This window comes from Homo sapiens, chromosome 6 (assembly GCF_000001405.40).
Source record: "Homo sapiens chromosome 6, GRCh38.p14 Primary Assembly".
NCBI lineage: Eukaryota > Metazoa > Chordata > Mammalia > Primates > Hominidae > Homo > Homo sapiens.
The window spans coordinates 149,566,035-149,592,624 of NC_000006.12; the positions used below are offsets into that span (position 1 = coordinate 149,566,035).

At 42.4% G+C, this 26,590-nt stretch overlaps 1 protein-coding gene across 1 annotated transcript, besides 3 other annotated features; it reads left to right on the forward strand.

Annotated features, from left to right (window-relative positions):
- Positions 68-617: a silencer, noted in NCBI's record as "silent region_17663". NCBI's record gives its function as "represses an Ori minimal core promoter by ATAC-STARR-seq in GM12878 lymphoblastoid cells {active_cell/tissue: GM12878}" and the evidence as "EXISTENCE:reporter gene assay evidence [ECO:0000049][PMID:35858748]".
- GINM1 (glycosylated integral membrane protein 1) lies at positions 341-25,714 on the forward strand. Its single transcript, NM_138785.5, has 8 exons — positions 341-500; positions 6,251-6,310; positions 6,473-6,569; positions 12,788-12,939; positions 13,800-13,956; positions 14,559-14,689; positions 16,406-16,569; positions 24,693-25,714. The coding sequence occupies exons 1-8, from the start codon at positions 381-383 to the stop codon at positions 24,802-24,804; spliced, it is 993 nt and encodes a 330-aa protein (NP_620140.1). The 5' UTR covers positions 341-380; the 3' UTR covers positions 24,805-25,714.
- Positions 888-937: an enhancer, noted in NCBI's record as "active region_25264". NCBI's record gives its function as "activates an Ori minimal core promoter by ATAC-STARR-seq in GM12878 lymphoblastoid cells {active_cell/tissue: GM12878}" and the evidence as "EXISTENCE:reporter gene assay evidence [ECO:0000049][PMID:35858748]".
- Positions 2,084-2,133: an enhancer, noted in NCBI's record as "active region_25265". NCBI's record gives its function as "activates an Ori minimal core promoter by ATAC-STARR-seq in GM12878 lymphoblastoid cells {active_cell/tissue: GM12878}" and the evidence as "EXISTENCE:reporter gene assay evidence [ECO:0000049][PMID:35858748]".
- Positions 25,715-26,590: the final 876 nt, after the last annotated feature.

Below are 26,590 nucleotides of genomic sequence, written 5' to 3' on the forward strand. Positions count from 1 at the left end.
TACATGTGCACACACAGACACATGCATGTGTGTAAATACTAATTTTAAAAATAATGGTTACGAGGACATTTACATCGCTCCAGTTGGAGTCCTGTCCAATCCTGAGGGCGGGTCTAATGAGGGGCCGTACCTTCCAAGATTTCACTCCGCCCCTCGACGCCGCGCGGCGCTGCGCGTGCGCAAACGCCTTTCCCTGGCGAGCCGGATCTCGGAGCGTCCCCGCGCCTCTCCGCGGCCGCCCGGGGAGGGGAGGGCCCGTCCCGCCCCTCCCCGTCTCTCCCCGCCCCTCCCCGTCCCTCCCGCCGAAGCTCCGTCCCGCCCGCGGGCCGGCTCCGCCCTCACCTCCCGGCCGCGGCTGCCCTCTGCCCGGGTTGTCCAAGATGGAGGGCGCTCCACCGGGGTCGCTCGCCCTCCGGCTCCTGCTGTTCGTGGCGCTACCCGCCTCCGGCTGGCTGACGACGGGCGCCCCCGAGCCGCCGCCGCTGTCCGGAGCCCCACAGGTAGGGCAGGGCGGGCCTGGCTGGCCGCTTTACGACTCCGACTCTCCGGGAGGCCCGGGCTGTCCACAGTGACGCTTCCCACATCCCACCGGCGGGCAGGGGCGGGGGTCCGGGCCCCCGAAGGAGGTGTGGGGAGAAGCACCCCAGGAAATGGGGGCGGCGTGGGAGGCCGAGGTAAGAGGAAAGGGACCCACTGGGGCTGCGTCGCTGTGAGTGAGCCTCGAGCCACTCCACACCGACTCTCCGGCGGCCCAAGCCGGCGCGCGACCTGACGGGGCTTTGCCGTCGAAGCGCGCGGTTGCCGGTGATCAGGCCTTCGTAATGGCGCCTTCCCGGGGTAGAGCCAGCGCTTGGGCAAGGAATGTTTGTGTGCTCGGGAAGTGTGGAAGTTGCCCACTTCGCGCATTTCCAGGCCACTTGTGCCTGCTCGGCCTGCGATCGCGAGGGTCCGCCGTTCCGAGGCTGCGGGGCTCCGCCGGGCTCAGGTGGGCAGAGGGAGAGACCTGGCCCTCGCGCGACGTAATGTTTTTGTCGGATGTTGGAGGAGAAGTTCTCACGGCGGGGCGCGATCGGCGGTGTCCGCATCCCCTGGGGACTCAGCCCGGCCTCTGGGGGCGGGGCCCAGCAGTCCGGGTTGGAGAGTCCTGCAGGTGCTTCTGATGCCAGCTGAGGTGGGAGAATCGAGGCATCCTAACATTAAAACGTGGCTGATGCTCACCATTCCTGCCGTAGAGTCGTGCCTACCTAGGCCAGTATCAGCCTTTTTTCAGTAGAATGGTAGGGAAAAGTTTGAATATTTTAAAGAGCAAGTGTTCTGAGAATGACAAGAAACTATGTCGGTACACCTCTTCCTAGTCAAGACTTGAATATGAACACTCTAAATACAAAGGCGAAGGGCACGGTAAGTGTCACTTTGACCAACAAGGTGAAACCCCGTCTCTACTAAAAATAGAAAAATTAGCTGGGCGTGGTTGCAGGTGCCTGTAGTCCCAGCTACTCGGGAGGCGGAGACAGGAGAATTGCTTGAACCCGGGAGGCAGAGGTTGCAGTGAGCCGAGATCGTGCCACTGCATTCCAGCCTGGGTGAGGGAGCTCAAAACAAAACAAACAAACAAAAACAAAAAAACCAAGTGTTAACGTTTTAGGATAATGACATTACCCCACGTGGGTACAAAAATGATGAGCATGTCTCAGTTCTGCAGGGCATTCCAAGAAGCCACGACATTGCCTGCCATAAGAACCACCTATATCTGAAATTATATGTGGACCACAGTTGCATCTGGTTAAACAATAGGAATGTGATGGACAGGCACCAAGGGACCAAATAAAAGTGAAATAGTTCTAAAAAGTTCTGGAAATACGGACATTATTTTCCTATTTTTCAAGTTTTAAAGATTCATAATTGACACCTATGTGTCAATGAGATGTTTACGTCTATATAATCTGCGAAAAATACATTTTGACTGCAGGCTTAAAATACACTGCATTGTCGGCTGGCTCTTAGTGATGATTTTACTATTTCAGTTCTCCCTTCTTGGGCCTTCATTTCACTTTCAGAAAGTCCAGATCTAAACTCGGAAATTCACATATTACGCTGGGTGCAGTGGCTCACGCCTGTAATCCCAGCTACTGGGAATCCAAAGCCAGAGGATTGCCTGAGACCAAGAGTTGGGTGTTGGATGATAAGCCTGGTTAACATAGCAAGAGCCTGTCTCAACAACAAAAAGTTTCACAGATTAAATGAGTGCTGAACAACTAGAAAGAGAATCTCATTACCTGGACTGTGTCTGTGGGAAACTGAAGTCCCTTGATCTAAGTCTTCTCAACGTCTTATTGTGAAACATTTCCAATAGGAAAGAATTTCACAGTGGTCCCACATATTGTGTAAGTGCTGTCCAGTAGAACTTTCTGCCTTGATGGTTATGTCTTTTCTCACCTTGTGGGTAGCCACTAGACTGCTGTGGCCACTGAGCACTTGAAATGTGGCCAGTGCCAGTGAGGAACTGTTTTTAAATTTTTATTTAATTTTAATCAATGTAAATGTAAATAGTCACAAGTGATTAGTGTGTACCATATTGAACAGTGCAGAACCAGACTACCCTTAACATTACTAGCTTTATCACATCTGTCCATCCTCGTTTCCAGTCTGATATAAATTAAACTGGTTGAAGTCAGGAAAATTCTGCCTTCTTCCGATGACTCAGATTTATTGGACTATAAGCATTTTTCTGTTTTTATGTATGCAGTTGTCAGAAGTTGAGGTAATACAAGATTGCACATAAGATTGAAAAATAAAAGTCTTTTTTTTTTTGAGACGGAATATCTCGCTCTGTCTCACACAGGCTGGAGTGCAGTGGCATGATCTCGGCTCACTGCAGCCTCTGCCTCCCAGGTTCAAGTGATTCTCCTATCTCAGCCTCCTGAGTAGCTGGTACTACTGGCGCGTGCCACCACACCTGGCTAGTTTTTGTATTTTTATTTTTATTTTTTTATTTTTTGTTTTTTATTTTTGAGAGAGAGTCTCACTCTGTCTCCCAGGCTGGAGTGCACTGGCATGATCTCGGCTCACTGCAACTTCTGCCTCCTGGGTTCAGGTTCAAGTGATTCTCCTGCCTCAGCTTCCCAAGTAGCTGGGATTACAGGCTCCCGCCACTGCGCCCAGCTAATTTTTTTATATTTTTAGTAGAGATGGGGTTTCACCATGTTGGCTAGGTTGGTCTCGAACTCCTGACCTCAAGTGATCCACCCGCCTCAGCCTTCCAAAGTGCTGGGATTACAGGTGTGAGCCACTGCGCCCGGTCACTTTTTTTTTTTTTTTTTGACGTGAAGTCTCGCTCTGTCCCCCATCCTGCACAGTGCAGTGGTGCAATCTCGGCTCACTGCAGCCTCTGCCTCCCGGGTTCCAGCGATTCTCCTGCCTCAGCCTCCCAGATAGCTGGGATTACAGGCACGTGCCACCATGCCTGGCTAATTTTTGTATTTTTAGTAGAGACGGGGTTTCACCATGTTGGCTAGCTGGTCTCAAACTCCTGACCTCAGGTGATCCACCCGCCTCAGCCTCCCAAAGTGCTAGGATTACAGGCATGAGCCACCATGCCCGACCGAAAAATAAAAGTCTTTATAGTAAATTCTTCTAATACTAAAATAACTTGGTCACCAAAGAGAGGCATTCGGAGGACACTTACTTTCTTGTATGCATAACTGTATATTTCGCTCAGACGTATTTTAAACCAGCTGTCTATTACCTTTATTCTTAGGAAGACACTTATGTCCCCAGTGGGCATCCTATGAGTAAAGGAATTAGAAGAATTGAAGATTTTTAGGGAGAAACTTTTCAGTGTCCCCAAGCACTTTTTAAGTATATGCAACCCTGGCTTACGAGCCTGAACTTCCAGTTCAATCAGAAGTTCTCAAGAACAATAAATATGACCTGGCTCTGAACTCCTGGCCAGGGGGCAGTAAGGAGTGTGATTCCCTTTTGCAGTGAAATCATTCAGAAAGACCAGAAAATAATTTTGTTGTACTTGGTTCTCTGGAAAATATAGTGTGCTTGTGTCTGTTAATTGTCTTTTTCAAACTCTGTAATTTTACTAGGTAGGTTTTATATATATATATATATATATATATATATATATATATATATATATATATATATATATATATAAAGTTCAGTAACTTGCTAACAATATAGTGTTCACTGCTAAAAGGCAGAAGCTATAAAATGGTTTCCTAGAACAACATTGGAGGCTTACTTCTGGGCTGTTAGAAGAATAATAGTTTATAATTAATACATTCTCTAGTTTGCAAAGGAGATCCATATGACTTGAATTTGGACACAAAACAATGTAGCTATCAATCTCATAGCTCATTGAATGTGGATTTGTTTTAGATGCACTATTGGTTCTAACCGTCTAGATCAAGGTGAGCCAGGAAAAAGCTGGCTAGTTCTGAGGAATTTCTAGTTAGAAAGCTTCCTAGGCTCCTAGTTGGGAAGTGAACCAAAGTCACCCTAAATGTATGATGTTGGTCTTGTGTGGTATGAATCCTCTTTCACAAATTATTCCTGGAATCAGCTCGACCTCATGAAATTTCATCAGTCTTATTCTCTCATTTGTGGGAAATTATATATAAAGTATTTAGGATACTCAGGGCCAGCAGATATACTTGTATATTCTTTTTGATGTTTATGAACAGTTTTCCTATTTTCTAAGTTAATACAACCTCAAAGAAAAAGTATTTGAGAGTATTGTTTTTATTCCAGAATAACAATGTCTATTTGTGAATAAACTTAGGAAAGAATTTGATTTAGAAATGATAGATTGTAGTTCCTGTGGTCAGTGGTAAATACTTCTTAAAATAGTGCTTGCTTCTGTATATAAAGCATGTCATCTTCAATATTTGGGTATCCTGCTTTTGATAATACCTTGAGAGGCAATAAAATTGGAGCATTACAGATGCTTGTATAAGAAACACACTCAAGAAAGGGTCAGTGCAACTTTGGTCAGGTGCGGTGGCTCACGCCTGTAATCCCAGCACTTTGGGAGGCCGAGGTGGGTGGATCACGAGGTCGGGAGTTCGCAACCAGCCTGACCAACGTGGTGAAACCCCCGTCTCTACTAAAAATACAAAAATTAGCCAGGTGTGGTGATGCATGCCTGTAATCCCAGCTACTCAGAAGGCTGAGGCAGGAGAATCACTTGAACCCGGGAGGCGGAGATTGCAGTGAGCCAAGATCGCCACTGCACTCTAGCCTGGGCAACAGAGCGAGACTCCCTCTCAAAAAAAAAAAAAAAAAAGTCATTGCAACTTTATTTATAAAAGGAAAAAAGTTGGAAACAACTCAGATGTCCGTGGGTAATAGAATAAATAAGTAAATTGGTAGTCAGAGATGGACTACTGTGATTACAGCTATGTGCATCAACAGTATCAACTACAGTTACGGAAGAATACATGTGTACTGTTATCCCACTTACATAAAGCTCAGAAACAGATAAAACTAAGCAACATATTGTTTAGAGAGAGAGACACAGGTAGTAAAACTATAAAGAAAAGCAAGAAATGATTCAAATGGAATTGGGTATAGGATTCCTTCTGGGGGGATAGAGGGCAATCATGCAGAGCCTGCCAAGGTAGGGGTAATATTTTATATTTTATCCTCGGTGGTACTTACAGGAGTGCTCATCTTTTAAACTCTATATTTGCATATTATATACTCATGTGATACTTTTCACAAGTAAATAGAAAAAGTATATATTATAAAAAATTAGACCGGGCGCGGTGACTCACGCCTGTAATTCCAGCACTTTGGGAGGCCGAGGAGGGCGGATCACGAGATCAGGAGTTCAAGACCATCCTGGCCAACATGGTGAAACCCCATCTCTACTAAAAATACAAACATTAGCTGGGTGTGGTGGTGCATGCCTGTAATCCCAGCTACTCGGGAGGCTGAGGCAGGAGAATTGCTTGAACCCAGGAGATGGAGATTGCAGTGAGCCCAGATTGCGGTACTGCACTCCAGCCTGGCGACAAAGTGAGACTCTCAAAAAATAAATAAATAAATAAATAAATAATTGGAATTGTAAATAAGGGTGGAAAAATGGCTATAAAATGGAAAAGATGATCTTTTAAACTCTCTTAATGCTGTTATAAGTGATTGTACAATAGATACAATTGGAGGGAAAAGAGAAAGCCACGTTGTTCTCAATCTGTGAGATGCACACCTTCCAATTTACACAATACTTGTTTTACAGGACGGCATCAGAATTAATGTAACTACACTGAAAGATGATGGGGACATATCTAAACAGCAGGTTTGTCTCCTTTTCTGGTTTTAATATATAATTTAGCTAAGTGCTATGCAGCTTATTTGATTTTTTAACTTGCACGTCTCATTTAGTTAATCTTTTTTGACTTGAAGAGTTTGCTATTGTTTATAAATATTGGAATTAATGTATATGCTGCTTTATTTTAAGGTTGTTCTTAACATAACCTATGAGAGTGGACAGGTGTATGTAAATGACTTACCTGTAAATAGTGGTGTAACCCGAATAAGCTGTCAGACTTTGATAGGTGAGTATTACTAAATTATTTCCATAATTGCTCTGTTTTTTGTGTGTTTGTTGTTGTTGTTGTTGTTGTTTGTTTTTTGAGACAGTCTTGCTCTGTCACCCAGGCTGGAGTGCAATGGTGCGATCTCAGCTCACTGCAACCTCTACCTCCTAGGTTCAAATGATTCTCATTCCTCAGCCTCCAAAGTAGCTGGGACTGCAGGCATGTGCCACCATACCCGGCTAACTTTTGTAATTTTAGTAGAGACAGGGTTTCGCCATGTTGGCCAGGCTGGTCTTGATTGAACTCCTAGCCTCAAACCATCTACCCTCCTCTGCCTCTCAAAGTGCTGGGATTACAGATGTGAGCCCCTGTGCCTGGCCTGTTCTGTTTTTAATAATACTAAATTAGCAAAACAATTTTTGGATGTTATATATTTCCATTTTAAAGTAAAAATAGGCTGGGTGCAGTGGCTCACGCCTGTAATCCCAACACTTTGGGAGGCCGAGGTGGGCAGATCACGAGAGGTCAGGAGTTTGAGACCAAACTGGCCAACACGGTGAAACCCCATCTCTACTGAAAATGTGGTGTGTGCGCCTGTAATCCCAGCTACTCAGGAGGCTGAGGCAGGAGAATCGTTTGAACCCAGGAGGCGGAGGCTGCTGTGAGCTGAGATCACGCCACTGCACTCTAGCCTGAGCAACAGAGCAAGGCTCCGTCACAAAAAAAATAAAAATAAAGTAAAAATATACATCACTGAAGCAAGATCCCAGGAGTTTGAGGCTGCAGTGAGCTATAATCATGCCACTGCACTCCAGCATGGGTGACAGAACAAGACCCCATCTCTAAAACACACACACAGATCATTATCAGAATGTACAATAACACTAATGTGTTTAAAACTCTGTTCTTGTTTTATATTGGCTGCTTCTCGCATATTCACTATTTTCCATAAGATCAGTATTGATGAAACTGTATTTCTGGTAAGTAGATAACGATGTAAGAATGTGCATAGAGGCGGGGCATGGCGGCTCTAGCACTTTGGGAGGCTGAGGCGGGTGAACTGCCTGAGCCCTGAGTTCGAGACCAGCCCGGGCAACATGGTAAAACCTTGTCTCTGCAAAAAATACAAAAATAAATTAGCTGGGTGTGGTGATGTGTGCCTGTAGTCCCAGCTACTCCTGAGAGGTGGGAGGATCGCCACTGTACTCCAGCCTGGGCAACAGAGTAAGACCCTGGCTCAAAAAAAAAAAAATGTGCATAAAGGTAGTAAATGGGATAGCAAGAGCCAAGAAAATGAATTGTCTGATTATCTAGTATTCAGTTTCTTCTACCCTTATGTCAGTAGAACATTTTCTTTTTAACCTTTAAAAATTTTGAGTTGTTTAAAGGTAAGCAGGTATGTTGCATTGGAATATGCCATATTATTTGGATGAAATAGCAAATACAAAGAATATACATAGGATTTTTTTTTTTTTTTTTTTGAGATGGAGTTTTTGCTCTTGTTGTCCAGGCTGGAATGCAGTGGCGCGATCTCGGCTCCCTGCAACCTCCTCCTCCTGGGTTCAAGTGATTCTCCTGCCTCAGCCTCCCGAGTAGCTTGGATTACAGGTGCCCGCCACCATGCCCGGCTAATTTTTGTATTTTTAGTAGAGATGGGGTTTCACCATATTGGTCAAGGCCGGTCTCGAACTCCTGACCTCAGGTGATCCGCCTGCCTCGGCCTCCCAAAGTGCTGGGATTACAGGCGTGAGCCACCGTGCCCGGCCCACTTGTTGTTTCTGTCAGTCTGTCTTTTAGTTGGGATTTTAACTTATTTACATTAATAAAATTACTGATACATTTGGATTTAAATCCTCCTTCTTGTTTCCTCTTTGTCCCAACTGTTCTGTGTTTCTTTTTCTTCCCCCTTTGCCTTCTTCTAGGTTAGTTATTTTTGGTATCATAGTTCCCTTCTGTCTTGGTTTTACGTAATTTTACTATTCTTTTAGTGGTTACCCTTGCTATCAATAGATTAGTACTTTTGGCTGGGCATGGTTGCTCATGCCTGTATTCCCAGCCCTTTGGGAGGCCAAAGCTGGAGGATCACTTCAGTCTGGGAGTTCGAGACCAGCCTGGGCAACATAGGGAAACCTATGAGCCCAGTGTGGTGGTGCAGGCTTGTTTTCCCAGCTACTTAGGAGGCTGAGGTGAAAGGATCCCTTGAGCTCAGGAGATAGAGGCTGCAGTAAGCTGTGATTGTACCACTGTAGTCCATCCTGGGTGACAGAGTGAGACCCTGTCTCAAAAAATGAATTTAAAAAATAAAAATAAATAAATTTGTACTTTTATCACTTCCCAAACAATGCAAGAACCTTAGAACACTTAAATTCCATTTATTCCCTTTTTGCCTTTGGGTTATTATTATATATTTTAACTCTTTGTGTTCTTAAACCCCATGTGACATAATTATTGTTTTATGTAGTCCAATATTCATGTGTGTTTACCATCATAGTTACCTTTTTCATTGCTCTTTATTCCTTCCTATCTGTGCTCCACTCTATATCATTTGGTTGGAATTTCAAGTTCCAAAATTCTTTCTTCTATCCCTATTTCTCTGTACATTCTGCAACTCCTGCCTTGCCCTCACACACATGCATTGTGCCCTGGTTGTCATTTTCCTTCGGCCTAAAGAATTCCCTTTGGTATTTCTTTCAGTACAGGTTTGTTAGCAGTGAATGGTCTGAGGTTTTATTTGTCTGAAAACATCTCTTTGCCTTCATTTTAGAAGGCTATTTTTGCTGGCTGTGGAAGCATAGCTTAGCATTTTTGTTTTAACATTTAAACACTTCATTTTCTCCCCTGCTGGGTGAGACTGCCAGACACTTTGTCGAGCTTTTTTGCCTCCTAGTCGTTGCTTTCTACTCAGCTTTTCAACCTCTCCACCTGTTCTGTCTGGGAGTTGGCAAATGCCTTTGCGGGAAGAAATCACATAGGATATTGTACTCACCTCAGGGAGCTCTTTTCTTGGCCCTTCAAGTGCTGGCTGTCTTTAGCTTCTGATGCCTCTACACAGATGTAGGTTTTGTGTGTATGTGTGGGTGTGTATTTTTTACATCTTTTCTAGCAGTTCTTTGCAAGTGGTTCATTGCAAGAGGGTTGGTGTGCTGCAAGCTGATCCATGGTAGCTAAGAAAGGAAGTGCTAGTACTACTGAAATAATAATTCTTTTGTTGTTGTATTCACTGGGAATTGGACGTGGAATACAGCCTGTCTCCTCTCTTATGGCCATCTTTTAGTCATCCCAGTCATTGCACTGAGTTTGTTTCTATGATAACTGAAATAAATGCTCATCTTATCCAGTTACAGCAAGAATCTTCAAAACATTAAATGCAGCAACAACAACAAATCTTCTTTAATTCTTTAAAGAAACTTTTTCTTTAGTTGGTGTATTTGTTTATTGCTGCATAACAGTTTAACCCAGAAATCAGTGGCCTAAGACAATATTTATTATTTCATAGTTTCTGTAGGTCGAGAATCTGAGCTTGGCTTAGCAGGGTCCTGTGGTTCTCAAAAGGCTGCCATCACGTCAGGGCTCAGCTGGGAAAAATCTGCTTCCCAGCTCACTCATGTGGTTGTTGGCAGGAGTCAGTTCCTTCTGAGCTCTTGAACTGAGGCCTCAGTTCCTCACCAGATGTTGGTTGAAGGTCTTCCTCAGTTCCTTGTCACACGAAGCTCCCCATAGAGCATCTCACAACATGGCAACTAGCTTCATCGAGAGGACAAGAGAGACTGCCAGTAAGAAAAAGAGTACTAGCAAGACAGAAGTCATAGCCATTAATAATCTAATTGTGGCAGTAACATTCCATCACTTGGGCTATGCTCTGTTTGTTAGAAACGAGTCACTAGGCTGTGTGCATTGGCTCATGCCTGTAATCCCAGCTATTTGGGAGGCTAAGGCTGGAGGATCACTTGAGGCCAGGAGTTCAAGACCAGCCTAGGCAAGATAGCAAGGCTGTCTCTTTCAAAAGAACAAAAAAAGAAAAAAAAATCATTCATAGATCGATAGATAGATAGGTAACTAACTGACTAGTCACTAGGTCCAGCCCACTTGAGGGAGGAATTGCAGAAATGTCTGACTCCTTAGAGGCAAGGGTCATTGAGGGGCATTTTTGAAAGCCGCCTACCACAGTAAGGAAGTCAATATGAAGGGCTTTGTTGTTTTTTATTTAATTTTATGCTGTATTAGAGGTACTGTATGAGGCTCTTCTCACATTGCTATAAAGAAATACCTGAGACTGGGTAATTTATAAAGAAAAGAGGTTTAATTGGCTCATGGTTCTGCAGGCTGTACAGGAAGCATGGCACCAGCATCTGCTCAGCTTCTAAGGAGGCGTCAGGAAGCTTTTACTCATGGTGGAAGGCAAAGGGGGAGCCAGTATCTCACATGGCAGAGCAGGAGCAAGAGAGAGCAAGAGTGGCAGTGGGGTGCCGTAACCCCAAGCCATGAGGGATCTGCCCCCATGGCCCAAACATCTCCCACCAGGCCCCGCCTCCAACATTGGGAATTACATCTCAACATGAGATTTGCGGGGAACATCCAAACTATATCAGGTACCAAATTTGCAGGCTGAAGAATTGCCACTTGGGTGTATTTTTATGACTGCATTTTCTCACCCATTGAGTCTCCTGTACCTTAGTCTTTGGGCTTACGGACATGCTGACACAGCGCCTGCTGTTCCACGAAGGAGACCCACGGGTGGTAATGGTCAGTTAAAACACGGGGATGGACCATGAGAGAGGGGGTACCTTTGACAGTGGTGCTTTTCAAAGGGCATGAAGGATTAGGCACACTAGAGAGAGGAGCAGCGAGGGGCCAGATGAGGAGCCTGAGGAGGACCAGTGAGAGGACCGGGAACTTCACAGAAGTGCCACTAAAGGTGTGTGAGCAGGAGGCTGTGGACTGAAAACCACGTCACAGTGAGACGAGCTTGGCATGTTGTCTGAATGGTTTGGCGGCGGGGACTAAAGCAGGGGAGAATAGGTAGGTATATCTTGTAATAGTAAGTAGTTAATGAACTAGATATTGAGATATTCCAGACAAAGGAAGTAGCCCTATAGATGCACAGAATCAGACTAAACAGCTGGGTGTGCATTCAGATTGTATATCTGGATTCCTGTTTGGCAAAAATCTTCAGATTATTTGAGGGATAGAAATAAAATGCTCCATCTGTGACAGGTGCATTGGTGTATGTTGTTTTATCTTTTTCGATAGCACTTCTACCTTAATAGAGTAGCCGTTGGCTCTGTAAACCAGCTGCAGCTACTACACCCCGTTTCTACTGGAGCAGGAGTAGAGGTTTCCTAGCTAGAGAAGAACGTGGACAATAGCTAGTCCTACCCCATTATCGATTACCAGAGAGAAATGACAGGCCTCCCCCACCCTCTTTCCCCATTCCTGCTCTCTCTAATAGTAATGAGTCACTAATCGGGGAAAGGATTGATTAAAAAACTCAATGTTCTTACTGCTTGGGCATCTTCTCTCACAGGATTTTGTGGATGGATGAATGTATGTGCTTATTATGTTAAAACGTGGGATTGGCTGTATCTTCTGGCTGGCTTTATAGTTGTGCCATGTTGGTTCCTCATGGCCAACCTGTATAAAAGAATAGGAAAGATGGGCCAGGCGTGGTCGTTCACGCCTGTAATCCCAGCACTTTGGGCAGCCAAGGTGGGTGAATCACTTGAGGTCAGGAGTTAGCAAGACCAGCCCGGCCAATATGGTGAAACCCTATCTCTGCTAAAAATACAAAAAAACAGCTGAGCATGGTGGTGCAAGCCTGTAAACCCAGCTACTTGGGAGGCTGAGGCAGGAGAATCCCTTGAACCCAGGAGGCAAAGGTTGCAGTGAGCCAAGGTGGCACCACTGCACTCCAGCCTGGGCGACAGAGCAAGACTCCATCTCAAAAAAAAAAAAAAAAAAAAAAGAATAGGAAAGATGTTGCTAGTGTGGTATTTCATACAAAGTCTAAAGATCAACACATTTTACCCTTTCAAATGAGTGTAAGCAGTCATAAAGATTTGTCAGATTGTCTTTGTTTTTAATAAATCTGAAACAGCATTGAGGTCAGGGATGAAGAAAGCCAAAGAAATGGGTTTTCAACTGTCTTGTTCCATGTAAATGTCATCAAAATAATCACACTCACTCACAGATTTGGTGGTAATCTTTGTTCAAAGGTGTCACTACTTTTTTTTTTATAGTGAAGAATGAAAATCTTGAAAATTTGGAGGAAAAAGAATATTTTGGAATTGTCAGTGTAAGGATTTTAGTTCATGAGTGGCCTATGACATCTGGTTCCAGTTTGCAACTAATTGTCATTCAAGAAGAGGTAGTAGAGATTGATGGAAAACAAGTAAGATAGTATGTTTATTAATTGGGAATTAAATGATATTTAGATTTGTGCTAGATATTATGCATGTGTTCAGTTATTTTATTTGTTTCCGACTTGATAAGGAAGGTGCCTAATGTTGCCTATATCCAATTATTTAGAATTTTTGTATATTTATTTTAGCATTTGAAATGTATTTTTAAAATTTCCCATATTCATACATGTTTGTATCACTTTAAAATGTACAGACATTATTAAATAGAAAGTAAGCAAAGAGATTCAATTTGGCTCATAGTTCTGCTACCATTTCCTCTATGGTAAATGAAGTCTCTGTGTGTAAATGAAGTAGAATCGAGATTAAGCTTATAATAGTAAGTGTTAAAGCAGGACAGGAATATTATTAAAGTTGCAAGTTAAGTGCCCCAAAGTGGGAGTACGGGGAAATAAATAGTAATTGTTAGCTGGGCATGGTGGCTCACACCTGTAATCCCAGCACTTTGGGAGGCCAAGGTGGACGAATCACCTGAGGTCAGGAGTTCTAGACCAGCCTGACCAACATGGAGAAACTCCTTGTCTCTACTAAAAATACAAAGTTAGCTGGGCATGGTGGCGCATGCCTGTAATCCTAGCTACTCGGGAGGCTGAGGCAGGAGAATCGCTTGAACCCAGAAGGCGGAGGTTGCGGCAAGCTGAGATCGCACCATTGCACTCCAGCCTGGGCAACAACAAGAGCGAAACTCCATCTCAAAAAAAAAAAAAAAGAGTAATTGTCTGAATAGGACACATGTTTTAGTTATATAAATCTGGGAGGAAAATTTGCTTTTAAATTTTTATGGGGCTGTGCTACTATTTAAAATAAAGAATAATTATATTTTCTTTCACAGGTTCAGCAAAAGGATGTCACTGAAATTGATATTTTAGTTAAGAACCGGGGAGTACTCAGACATTCAAACTATACCCTCCCTTTGGAAGAAAGCATGCTCTACTCTATTTCTCGAGACAGTGACATTTTATTTACCCTTCCTAACCTCTCCAAAAAAGGTAACTTAAAAGACCATTATTTAAAGTATTAAGGAGATTATTTATTTAGTTGGTAGCTTTATATACTCTTGAACTTTGTTATTTTTTACACTATTTGCAAAAGTTGCTATTTATCTTTAATAGTTAATATGTTTGGAAATGAGCTTGTTTAAAAAAATGCTTCATAACATGTATTGCTTCATATGTCCATTTAAGGACTTTAGGACTCTATTTGGAGCATTAGTAGAATGTGATCAGTGCTGGTTGCATAGTGACATTTTTCAGTAATTACTCTTACTCTGGGTACTGATCACAAAATATGTAATAAGACTATTGTAAAGGTTCATTCAGAGGAAGAACTATTCATTTTTTCACAGAAACATAGAACTTCTAAAATTTTGGCTTTCTATGTGACAGAATCATAACTGCTTTAGCTCCTTATACGTGTCTTAGTTTATAGTTCTCTTCTGACATTTAAATCAGTGAACATTCAGATGTGTTAATTTTTTCTCCCATGGTAAAATATGTGTTCTTACTATCCTAAATGCTATTGGTATCGTAATCTTAGGACTAGTAGGATAAGACACCAGCATTTTGGTAACGTTGCTCTTTCTCCTGGGTAGAAAGTGTTAGTTCACTGCAAACCACTAGCCAGTATCTTATCAGGAATGTGGAAACCACTGTAGATGAAGATGTTTTACCTGGCAAGTTACCTGAAACTCCTCTCAGAGCAGAGCCGCCATCTTCATATAAGGTAAATCAAGTATTTGGTGTTATCATAAGCATTCATGGTTAAGATGAAGAAAATCGACCCTAGCATTTAAAATGGAGTGGAAATCCTGAAGAATGGAACTGTAGAGCATTGGTGATAATGGACTCATCTTGGTCTTAATGTGATATTTTTAGTATTCCTATTTTCCTCTTCGAGCTTTGTTTAATAATATTGTAGTCAGATCATGATTATCAAGGTGCTGGATTTCATTTGGTTGGAATTATAAATTCCACAGTTATTTCTCATATCCAGATTTCTGTGTTTATTCTGTACCCGCTACCTCGCATACACACATATGCATTGTGCCCCCAGGATCTTGCCCAGTGATTCAGCTCAGGTGGTTGAGAATATACTTCCTAGAGTCAGCCTGCCCAGGCTTGAAACCTGGTTCTGCCGCTGACTAGTTGTGTGATCTTGAACAAATTTTTTCTTTTTCTTTGAGATGGAGTCTCACTCTGTCACTTAGGCTGGAGTGCAGTGGTGTGATCTCGGCTTACTCCTCCACCTCCTGGGTTCAAGTGATTCTCCCACCTCAGCCTCCTGAGTAGCTGGGATTACAGGCACACGCTACCACGCCCAGCTAATTTTTGTATTTTTAGTAGAGATGGAGTTTCACCATGTTGGCCAGGCTGGTCTCAAACTCCTGACTTCAAGTGATCCGCCCATCTTGGCCTCCCAAAGTGTTGGGATTATAGGCATGAGCCACCATCCCCGGCCGATAATTACTCTTTATTTCCCCGTACTCCCACTTTGGGGCACTTAATCTCTCTACCCTCAGTTTCTTTATCTGTACAATGGGGCACCCACTTAATCTGAATAGCAGTGTAAAGTAGTATCTCATGAAGTTGTTACAAGGATTAAATAAGTTGGGTACTACATATAAATATGCATTGGCACCTACTAATTTCTCAGATGTTACCTGTGACATTTATACTGCTTACCAGGAATATATTCATGGGTTCAGAGAGTATCCCGATATCTCTCTGTATATTAAGTAGACTCCTACCCAAAATTCATTTTAAATGAGCAGGGTCTATGGTTGGTATTAAAGGAGTAGTAGTTCTCACTGAAGGTCAGGCTTGCATATTTGAGGTCACTTCAGCAGTCTGGACTGTAGCACCTTTACCCTGTCTACCTCACCTCCCTTAGCAGCTCAGCCCCAGAGCAGACTGTCTTCATAGTCCGTGCCATCAGTGCCGACCTTAAGTTCTGCTCTCGCTCTTAAAGTATAGAAACATGTTTTGTACACAGTGAACTTCCCATGTATTCTAAAATTTTCTAATATGTTTGTCTTTCTCTTCCTTCTCTTGTGCTCTAGGTACTGGAAACAGTTGACTCTGCTCCATTTCGTTTATAATGGACTAGCCTAACGAATCTCTTGTCAATTAGCAATTATTTTCACTTGATTTGTAGTTAGAAAACAATATAAATAATTTTACAGGCTATTAACATTTTTGTGCTTGTATTGTTAGAACATAATTTTTAAAGTTGTAAGTAACTTCATTGAGGTACATTCTAAAATAAAATCACCATTTAAAATATACAATTAGTTTTGACAAATGTAGTCACCCATGTAACTACCAGCACAATCAAAATATAGAATATTTTTATCATCCCAAAGCTAAAACATTAAAAAATTTAAAGTTTATTCTTAGAGATTGATGCAACTTGCATATCTAATCGAAATTCCTTTTTCAGGTAATGTGTCAGTGGATGGAAAAGTTTAGAAAAGATCTGTGTAGGTTCTGGAGCAACGTTTTCCCAGTATTCTTTCAGTTTTTGAACATCATGGTGGTTGGAATTACAGGAGCAGCTGTGGTAATAACCATCTTAAAGGTGTTTTTCCCAGTTTCTGAATACAAGTAAGTATTTCTTATTTTTGAAATGTTAGTATTTTTAATGATTAAAAAGTGAGACATATTTGCTATGTTTTAGAATAGAAAATATAAAAATTAGAAAGGGTAAGACAAATGGGAGGGAAAATAACACCTACTGTTTTTCTAGCTCATCTTCCAATGTTAGCAAAATTGAAACACATTTATTGAATAGCTATTGTGATCAAGACATTCTTGGAGAGATTCAGATGTAAGTAAGACAAACTCTGCTAAGAACTTAAAATCTAGTAGCAGAGGAAGGAAACAAATACATGTAATGGAAAATGCAACTGTATGATCAGAGGTGAACAAAACCCGAGGACTTCATGATGTATTTTCAACCCCAGAGTATCAGTTTAAAATGTTAATTTCAGTAGACAAGCAGGATATTCATTGCAGCATTGTTTGTAATAGAAAATAAAAGCAAAATAGGCTGGGCACGGTGGCTCATGGCTGTAATCCCAGCACTTTGGGAGTCCAAGGCAGGTGGATCATGAGGTCAAGAGATCGAGACCATCCTGGCCAACATGGTAAAACCCCATCTCTACTAAAAATAAAAAAAAATTAGCCTGGACCTGGTGGCTCATGCCTGTAATCCTGGCACTTTGGGAGGCCGAGGCGGGCAGATCACAAGGTCAGGAATTTGAGACCAGCCTGGCCAATATGATGAAACCCTGTCTCTACTAAAAATACAAAAATTAGCCAGCCGTGGTGGCAGGCGCCTGTAGTCCCAGTTACTCAGGAGGCTGAGGCAGGAGAATCACTTGAACCTGGGAGGCAGAGGTTGCAGTGAGCCGAGATTGCACCACTGCACTCCAGTCTGGGCGACAGAGTGAGACTTCATCTCAAAAAATAAAAATAAAAACTAGCTGGGCGTGTGGCACCCATCTGTAGTCCCAGCTTCTTGGGAGGCTGAGGCAGGAGAATCGCTTGAACCCGGAAGGCGGAGGTTGTGGTGAGCCGAGATCGCGCCATTGCACTCCAGCCTGGGAAACGAGCAAAACTCCCTCTCGAAAAAAAAAAAAAAAAGTAAAAGCAAAATAAAAGCCCTCTTAACTGTATATCAGTGAGGTCTAATGAGATTTTCTCTGGCTGAATAAGTCCAAAATCTATTATGTGGGGGGAAATATGGCAAAGCAGTATGATCACATTTAGGTAAAACAAAAGTATTATGTGTATATAAATGCATAGAAAATTTCTGGAATGAGAAAACAAGTTATCTCTAATGAGTGGGAATGAGAGCAGAGGTGGAGAGACTGACTTTGACTTCCTTTTGTATATTTTTTAGTCAAAAATTATAAAATTTAAAATGAATTATTGTTAGTATTTTTTCAAGTTAAATCAGTCGTTTTATTTTATTTTATTTTATTTATTTATTGAGATGGAATGTCACTCCATCACCCAGGCTGGAGTGCAGTGGCATGATCTTGGCTCACTGCAACCTCCGCCTCCTGGGTTCAAGCGATTCTCCTGCCTCAGCCTCCCGAGTAGCTGGGATTACAGGCATGCGCCACCTTGCTTGGTTAATTTTTGTATTTTTAGTAGAGATGGGGTTTTTCCACGTTGGCCCAGCTGGTCTCGAACTCCTGACCTCAGGTGGATCAGGTGGATCACGTCTCGGCCTCCCAAAATGCTGGGATTACAGGCGTGAGCCACTGCACCTGGCCCATTAGTCATTTTAATTATCTTAACAGAAACAAATCTCAATGCAGATGACCACAGTTCTTGGCTTAGCTACATTGCATTATACTGTTATGTAACAGGATTTTTGGAAAAGAAGACCTAATTTGAACATTTACTTTTCCACTTGCTTGTTGTGAGGTCTTTGAACCTCCGACTTCTTCAGGTGTAATGATGAACTAATGCCTCCCTTGAAGGATTGTTGAAAGTCAAAGTCATGAAGCAAGCAAAGCACCTGCAGAGTAAAGAAATATTAGTTGCCCCTCCCACCTCTTAGTTTACATTTCCACTGAATTGGCATTCCCATTCCTTTCTGATATAGAAATATCCTTATCCAAAATGCTTAGAACCAAAAGTGTTTCAGATTTCAGATTTTTTTGGAATTTTGAACATTTGCATTATACTTACTGGTTGAGCATCCTCAATCCAAAATCCAAAATGCTCTTGGGAGCATTTCCTTTGCATATATGGAAATATATATATAATACTTGTATATATTTTATATAAATATTTATAAATGTATATATATATAGAGAGAGAGAGAGAGAGACACGGGGATCTTGCTATGTTGGCTAGGTTGGTCTTGAACTCTTGGCCTCAAGTTGTCCTCCTGCCTTGGCCTCCCAAAGTGCTAGGATTACAGGTGTGAACCACTGTGCCTGGCCAAGCATTTTCTTTAAGTATCATGTTGGCACTCAAAAAGTTTTGGATTTTGGAGCATTTTGGATTTTGGATTAGGGATGCTTGACCTGTAATAAAAATTCTGTAGTTTAACAGATTTCTTTCCCCTTTGGCTGCCAGGAAGTTCCAAACTTTTTTGAACTTTATTATGTATACCTGCATAGAAAACGGTGTTGTAATGTTTTTCTTTTTCTTTTGCCATTGTTTTGTTATGGGTTTCTCTGCAGGAACAGATGCAATATAAAATTAAAAACCAAATTTGCAGTTGTACTGCAGATACTTCCTGGTAGAAAAGGATTTAATACAGAACTATAGAGAGCAATGAACTGAAAGTATCCCTTCTCTGTTCTTCAATTCTTATTCTACCTAGAGGTAGTCATTGTCAACTGAGTTGACATTTTTAATCCAAATTCTATGTATTAATGTAAATGTACACTAGATAATCATAATTGTTTATCAACTCAGATTGTTAATTGTTCTACATTGCATTTTTCACTTAAGACACAGGTTTCCCAAACTTTCTTGGTTTACAGTATCCTTAGTGTGCCAGTAAATTTTTTTAATGCCCCTATACTTAGGCCAAAAGACAAATATAAAGATTTTTATTTTTATTTTTTATTTATTTATTTATTTTGAGACAGAGTCTCACTCTGTCGCCCAGGCTGAAGTGCAGTGGCACAATCTCGGCTCGCTGCAAGCTCCACCTCCCGGGTTCATGCCATTCTCCTGCCTCAGCCTCCCGAGTAGCTGGGACTACAGGCACCCACCACCACGCCCAGCTAATTTTTTGTATGTTTAGTAGAGACGAGGTTTCACTGTGTTAGCCAGGATGGTCTTGATCCCCTGACCTCGTGAGCCCCCTGCCTTGGCCTCCCAAAGTGCTGGGATTACAGGGGTGAGCCACCGCGCCCAGCAATTTTGTTCTTAAATTACTAATTTAAGAAATACTAATGGGATGTGAGTGCCTATAGAGCACTACACAATACCTCATATCTTGGCATCAGACTGGAAATTGGCATCCTCATTTCTTGTTCAGTGTTAGTTTTGTACAGTATTTGCTTTTTATCATAGTAACCACCTGTGTTAAGCCATTTTGTGTTGCTTATAAAGTAATACCTGGGCTGGTTACTTTATAAAGAAAAGAGGTTATTTATTTAGCTCATGGTTCTGCAAGAACCGTGTAGGCTGTACAAGAAGCATGGTGCTGCCATCAGCTGGGCTTCTGGTGAGGTCCTCAGGCTGCTTCCACTCAGCAGCTTCGCAAGGCAAAGCATGTGCAGAGATCACATATCAAGAAAAGAAGCAAGAGGAACAGCAGGGGGGTGTCAGGCTCTTTTTAACAACCAGGTCTCCAGGGAATGAATAATGAGAACTCATTCCCTTCCCCTCCAGAGAGGGCATTAATCTGTTCATGAAGGATCTGTCCTCATGGCCCAAACACTTCCTATTAGGCCACACCTCCAACATAGGGGATTAAATTTTAACATGAGGTTTGGAGGGGAAAAACTTTCCAAATCTAGCACCACCAAAACCCAGCTTTGGAAAGATTGACTTCATTGAATGTTTTGCAATCTAATGTTAAAAGCATGAAGTAACCTCAAGGTAATATTACACATGAAGTCTCTTGAAAATTTATATTATTCTGTGGTGCCTCTGTGAGTTTGCTCACCAACCCAGGGACCTCAGTGCAGTTTGGGAACCATAGACCTAAGATCTTTTCTTATCACTACATATATTCTTTTTTGTCCCCTTAGTTATTTTAATTCTATTTTATTTTTTATTACTTATTTTTGAGACAAGGTCTCACCTTGACACCCAGGCTGGAATGCAGTGGCTCAGTCATGGCTCACTGCAGCCTCAATCTCCCAAGACTCAAGTGATCCTCTCACCTCAATCTCCCAAGACTCAAGTGATCCTCTCACCTCAGCCTCCTGAGTAGCTAGGACTAAGGTGTGTGTCACCATGCCCAGCTAATTTTTTTAATTTATTTTTTGTAGAGGCCAGGTTGGCCCAGGCTGGTCTCAAACTCCTGGGGTCAAGCAGTCCTTCCACCTTGGCTTCCCAAAGTTCTGGGATTACAGGCATCAGCCACCATGCCCAGCCCTTAATATTATTTTTAACTGACATGTCATAATTATGTATAGCTTACCTATTCTTTTTATGGCTGCATAGTTCTAAAGGAGATAGGAAAAACCAAAGCATAGGAAAAATACTTTGGTTTTTCCTACTCTGACACTCTGGAGTACTTCACGTTTGGGCACCAATACGTGTGTGGGGATTTTTCACCACCAATAACTAATTCTCCAGTGGACACCAGCTGGGTGTCCTCTAATTCAGTTCAGTTCTGACACTTTCCACCTGGACACAGCGTCAGATCCCACAGGCTAAGGGCTTAGTTCCACAAGACTGCCCCCCTTCAGATGCCAGTTGTAAGCCCCAGGTTGTGATGTGTGATTCTGACCAGCTGGGTATAAAGAGGTTGCCATGACTTCCTCTTTGGGTTTGATTAATTTGCTTGGGACGTCTTTGGGGCGGCTCACAGATCTCAGGGAAACACCTCCACTTACTGGTTTATTACAAAGGAAACATGAAGAGGCAGATGGAAGAAGTGCATAGGGCAAGACATGGGGAGGGGGAGAGGGGTTCAGAGCTTCCCTGCCCTCCCTAGGTGCACCTCTATCCAGGTCCCATACCTCTGTGTGTTCAGCTATCCAGAAGCTCTCCAAAGCTAGTCCTTTTGGGTTCTTTTGCAGGTTTCATCACACAGGCATGATTGATTACATCATTGGTCACTGGTGATCAACTCAACCTTCAGTACCCCGTTCCCTTCCCCAAGGTTGGGGGATGGGACTGATCTCATGGTTGATACCCCTGGCAACCAGCTCCCCTGTTGAGGCTATCCAGGATCCCCCAGCCATCAGTCATCATTAGCATCCAAAAGATACTTACCACTTTGGAGATTTAAGGATTTTAGGAGCTGTTCCAGGAAGCCAGAGGAACTTACAAGTCATAATATCACAGGTGTTCCACAGTATAGATATACCTTAATATAACCATTCCTCTAACATTTAGGTAATTTCCAATTTCATGTTAATCCCAATAATGTTCTAGTATACATCCTTGCACATATATTTCTTTGCACATGTGTATTTATGTAGAATAGATTCCTAAAAGTAAAATTACTGTGTCACAAGTAATTGTATTAACTCCTTACAACCTGATGATAATCTTTTTTGGTTTTGCTACTAAAAATATAATTCATCTTAATTTGCATTTTCATCTTACTAGCATCTTTGCTAGTTTAGGTCTGGGTGGGTTCAACATCTTTGTGATAATTGGCTATATATGATTCTCTCATGACTTGCTTACGTAGAGCCTCTGGCCATTTTTCAATTGTGTTGGCATTTTGTAACTATTAGTATATAAGAGCTCTTTTGTCTGTTATACATATGTAATGCACATTGCAGATTTTTTTACTAATCCCAGCCTATCGTTTGTCTTTTGCTTATTTATGGTATCTCATCATACAAAAGCTTTAAATTCAAGGCCTAAGTAATTCATGTTATTCCTTTACAGCATGTAGGGTTTTTATTTTGCCTACTAAGTAGGCCAGACTTTCCTATCTTAAAATTATGGGGCTTTTTTTGTTTGTTTTTTGTTTTTTAAAGACAGGGTTTTGTTCTGTTGCCCAGGCTGGAGTACAGTGGCAGTGCTATCAAGGCCCACTGCAGCCTTGACCCTCCTGGGTTCAAGCGATCCTCCTGCCTCAGCCTCCCAAGTAGCTGGGACTACAGGCACTTGCCACCCTGCCTGGCTAATTTGTTGTTGTTGTTGTTGTTGTTGTTGAGACACAGTCTTGCTCTGTTGCCCTGGCTGGAGTGCAGTGGTGTGATCTTGGCTTGCTGCAACCTCCACCTCCTGGTTTCAAGCAATTCTCATGCCTCAGCCTCCTGAATAGCTTGAGATTACAGGCGCCCGCCACCATGCCTGGCCAATTTTTGTATTTTTAGTAGAGATGGGTTTCACCATGTTGGCCAGGATGGTCTCGAACTCCTGACCTCAAGTGACCCACCCGTCTCGGCCTCCCAAAGTGCTGGGATTGCAGGCGTGAGCCACCGTGCCCAGCCATTTTTTTAAAAAAAATTTATTTTGTGTAGAGACAGGGTCTCACTATGTTGCCCAGGCTGGACTCCTTGGGCCCAAGCAGTCCTCCTGCTTCAGCCTCCAAAGGTGCTGGGATTACTAAGGGCATGAGCCACTGTGCCCAGCCATTATATTTTCTTAAAATTTATTTATTTATTTATTTATATATTTGAGACAGAGTCTCGCTTTGTTGCCCAGGCTAGAGTGCAGTGGCACAATCTCTGCTCACTGCAACCTCAACTTCCCGGGGTCAAGAGATTCTCCTGCCTCAGCCTCCCGAGTAGCTGGGATTACAGGCGTGCACCACCACAGCCGGCTAATTTATGTATTTTTAGTAGAGACAGGGTTTCACCATGTTGGCCAGGCTGGCCTCGAACTCCTGACCTCAGGTGATCCACCCACCTCAGCCTCCCAAAGTGCTGGGATTACAGGCATGAGCCACTGCACCCAGCCAAAATTTATTTTTTAGCATTACTTTTCTGTATACTTTTAAAGCTAGAGTTCTCATTTTGTTTCCCAGACAGAGGCCATTTTTCCATTAGTAATTTATCATTGACTTAGAATGTTACCTTATTATAAACTAAATTTCCATATATGTTAGTCTTTTTCTGGACTGTTTTCTGTCCTAGTGATCTATTTGTCTATTCCTGTGCCAGTAGCACAGTTTTAATTACTCTCATGTTTTGTTTTTGTTTTTGAGACAGGGGCTAACTTTGTCACCCAGGCGGCAGTGCAGTGGCACGATCTCGGCTCACTGCAACCTCCACTTCCCGGGTTCAAGCGATCCTCCCACCTCAGCCTCCTGAATAGCTAGCTAGCTGGGACTGCATGTGTCCCATGCCCAGCTAATTTTTTCTATTTTTAGTAGAGATGGGGTTTTGCCATGTTTCCCAGGCTGATCTTGAACTCCTGGGCTCAAGTGATCTGCCCGCCTTGGCCTCCCAAAGTGCTGGGATTATAGGTGTGAGCCCCTACACCTGGCCTACTATCATGTTTTAATAAAACCTTTGAGAGCTACTTAAGACAACTTTGTCTTCTCCCCATTGTTCTTTTAAAAAAAATCTTATGGCTGTTCTTGCAGTTACTCCCCTGTGAACTTTAGAATCTGTTTGGTTCTATAAACAACTAACCCCCGTTGATGTTCTTATTAGAATAACACTGAATTTACAATGCAGGGTCCTAGATTCAATCCAAAGACGTACTCTCTGGTCAGGGATTTTAAGTAACAAAAAGAGCAACACTATCTAAAGACCTAAGGTTGTGTTGTGGTGGTGAGTATTATTTAGAGAGAGGCTTAGGCTTAGGCTTTTTGCTCAGCCTGGGTGTATCTAGGAACCTAACTCTGCCTTGGAGATCTATACTTACCCTATTCTTCCCTAAAATAGGAAATAATGAACTTCCTCGATGCCTTTCTATTCTCTCAGCCAGTTTGGTTAAAGTGACTTTGGGCTCAGTTTGTACAACCACTATGAATTTTTAAATAGAATGTAGCAAAAGCACCTAACCTTAGGTGTATATTATAACCTTGAAGTAGCCTTTTCTCACTATCAAACTACAGGCAGAGGAAACATTTAATTTTGATAGTAATTAATCACTTTCTATTTCAGAGGAATTCTTCAGTTGGATAAAGTGGACGTCATACCTGTGACAGCTATCAACTTATATCCAGATGGTCCAGAGAAAAGAGCTGAAAACCTTGAAGATAAAACATGTATTTAAAACGCCATCTCATATCATGGACTCCGAAGTAGCCTGTTGCCTCCAAATTTGCCACTTGAATATAATTTTCTTTAAATCGTTAAGAATCAGTTTATACACTAGAGAAATTGCTAAACTCTAAGACTGCCTGAAAATTGACCTTTACAGTGCCAAGTTAAAGTTTACCTTATTCTCGGCCGGGTGCAGTGGCTCATGCCTGTAATCCCAGGACTTTGGGAGGCCAATGCGGGCGGATCACGAGGTCAGATCAAGACCATCCTGCCAACATGGTGAAACCCTGTCTCTACTAAAAAAAATAAAAAAATTAGCTGGGTGTGGCGGTGCACGCCTGTAGTCCCAGCTACTTGGGAGGCTGAGGCAGGAGAATTGCTTGAACCCGGGAGGCGGAGGCTGCAGTGAGCCAAGATCACGCCACTGCACTCCAGCCTGGGTGACAGAGCGAGACTCTGTTTCAAAAAAAAAAAAGTTGACCTTATTCTCTAAAAGGGCTGGCTATTCATATGATGAATTGTTAAGGAAAACTTAAAGTGGAAGAGAACACATGTGAAGAGACTTTGAAATTATCAAAAGAAAAAAAAAAGACCAGACAAAATCTCATGTGCCAATAACTTTTCAAGGTGCCTTTGTTAAGGAAATTATATCCACTTAATTACTATAATATATAAGACTTTATGAAAAGCACTTTATAAAATTCTAATTTAAAAGGTCAAGAACTTAACACTTATTTTTTTATTCAGTACAGTGTGCCTTTATATTAAGTATGTGACTCAGTATAAAATCACTGAAGTGTATCATGATTTGATTGTATCCTGTACCAAGACTACTTACCTTGAATGCTCCAAGATTTAAAAGTAGTATGACATGTTCTCACTCTAAAATAAACTTTTTTTTTTTTTTTTTGAGGAAAAAAGTATAGCTGTTTTGGTTACACTGATATAAAACCTTTGCCCAGGTAAGAATGGCTGAGATGCAGGAGTAGGTATACTTTCATTTACACTGGCTGAAACCATGGCTCAAATTGAATGAGTCCATTGATGTCATGAATTAGACTGTGCCCTTGGTCTTGTGGTTCTAGATATAGTGCTGTTTACCCTAAAAGTGTTTTATTACCTTTTTTAACCATCACTCATATTGACATATTAATATTTTACAATGTGAACGAGTACATATAACTCATCTCTATGTGATACTTTTTTGAGATGGAGTCTGGCTCTGTCGCCTAGGCTGGAGTGCAGTGGCGCAATCTCGGCTCACTGCAAGCTCCGTCTCCCGAGTTCATGCCATTCTCCTGCCTCAGCCTCCCGAGTAGCTGGGACTACAGGCGCCCGCTACTATGCCCGGCTAATTTTTTGTATTTTTAGTAGAGATGGGGTTTCACCATGTTAGCCAGGATGGTCTCGATCTCCTGACCTTGTGATCTGCCTGCCTTGGCCTCCCAAAGTGCTGGGATTACAGGCATGAGCCACCGCGCCTGGCCCTCTATGTGATACTTTCTGTTGTTTCATTAAAAAATATTTTTACTGGCCGGGCACAGTGGCTCATGCCTGTAATCCCAGCACTTTGGGAGGCCGAGGTGGGCAGATCACGAGGTCAGGAGATCGAGACCATCCTGGCCAACACGGTGAAACCTCGTCTCTACTAAAAAAAAAAAAAATACAAAAAATTAGCCGGGCGTGGTGGGGGGCACCTGTAGGCCCAGCTACTCGGGAGGCTGAGGCAGGAGAATTGGTGTGAACCCGGGAGACAGAGCTTGCAGTGAGCCGAGATCACACCACTGCACTCCAGC

What these genes read in the sequence shown, in the direction of transcription:
- GINM1 (NM_138785.5), top strand. Translation starts at nt 381, where the DNA reads ATGGAGGGCGCTCCACCGGGGTCGCTCGCCCTCCGGCTCCTGCTGTTC. An exon ending in AAGCTGTCAGACTTTGATAG is followed by an intron (nt 6,570 to 12,787) that starts GTGAGTATTACT and finishes TTTTTTTTATAG; the next exon opens with TGAAGAATGAAAATCTTGAA. An exon ending in TAGAGATTGATGGAAAACAA is followed by an intron (nt 12,940 to 13,799) that starts GTAAGATAGTAT and finishes TTTCTTTCACAG; the next exon opens with GTTCAGCAAAAGGATGTCAC.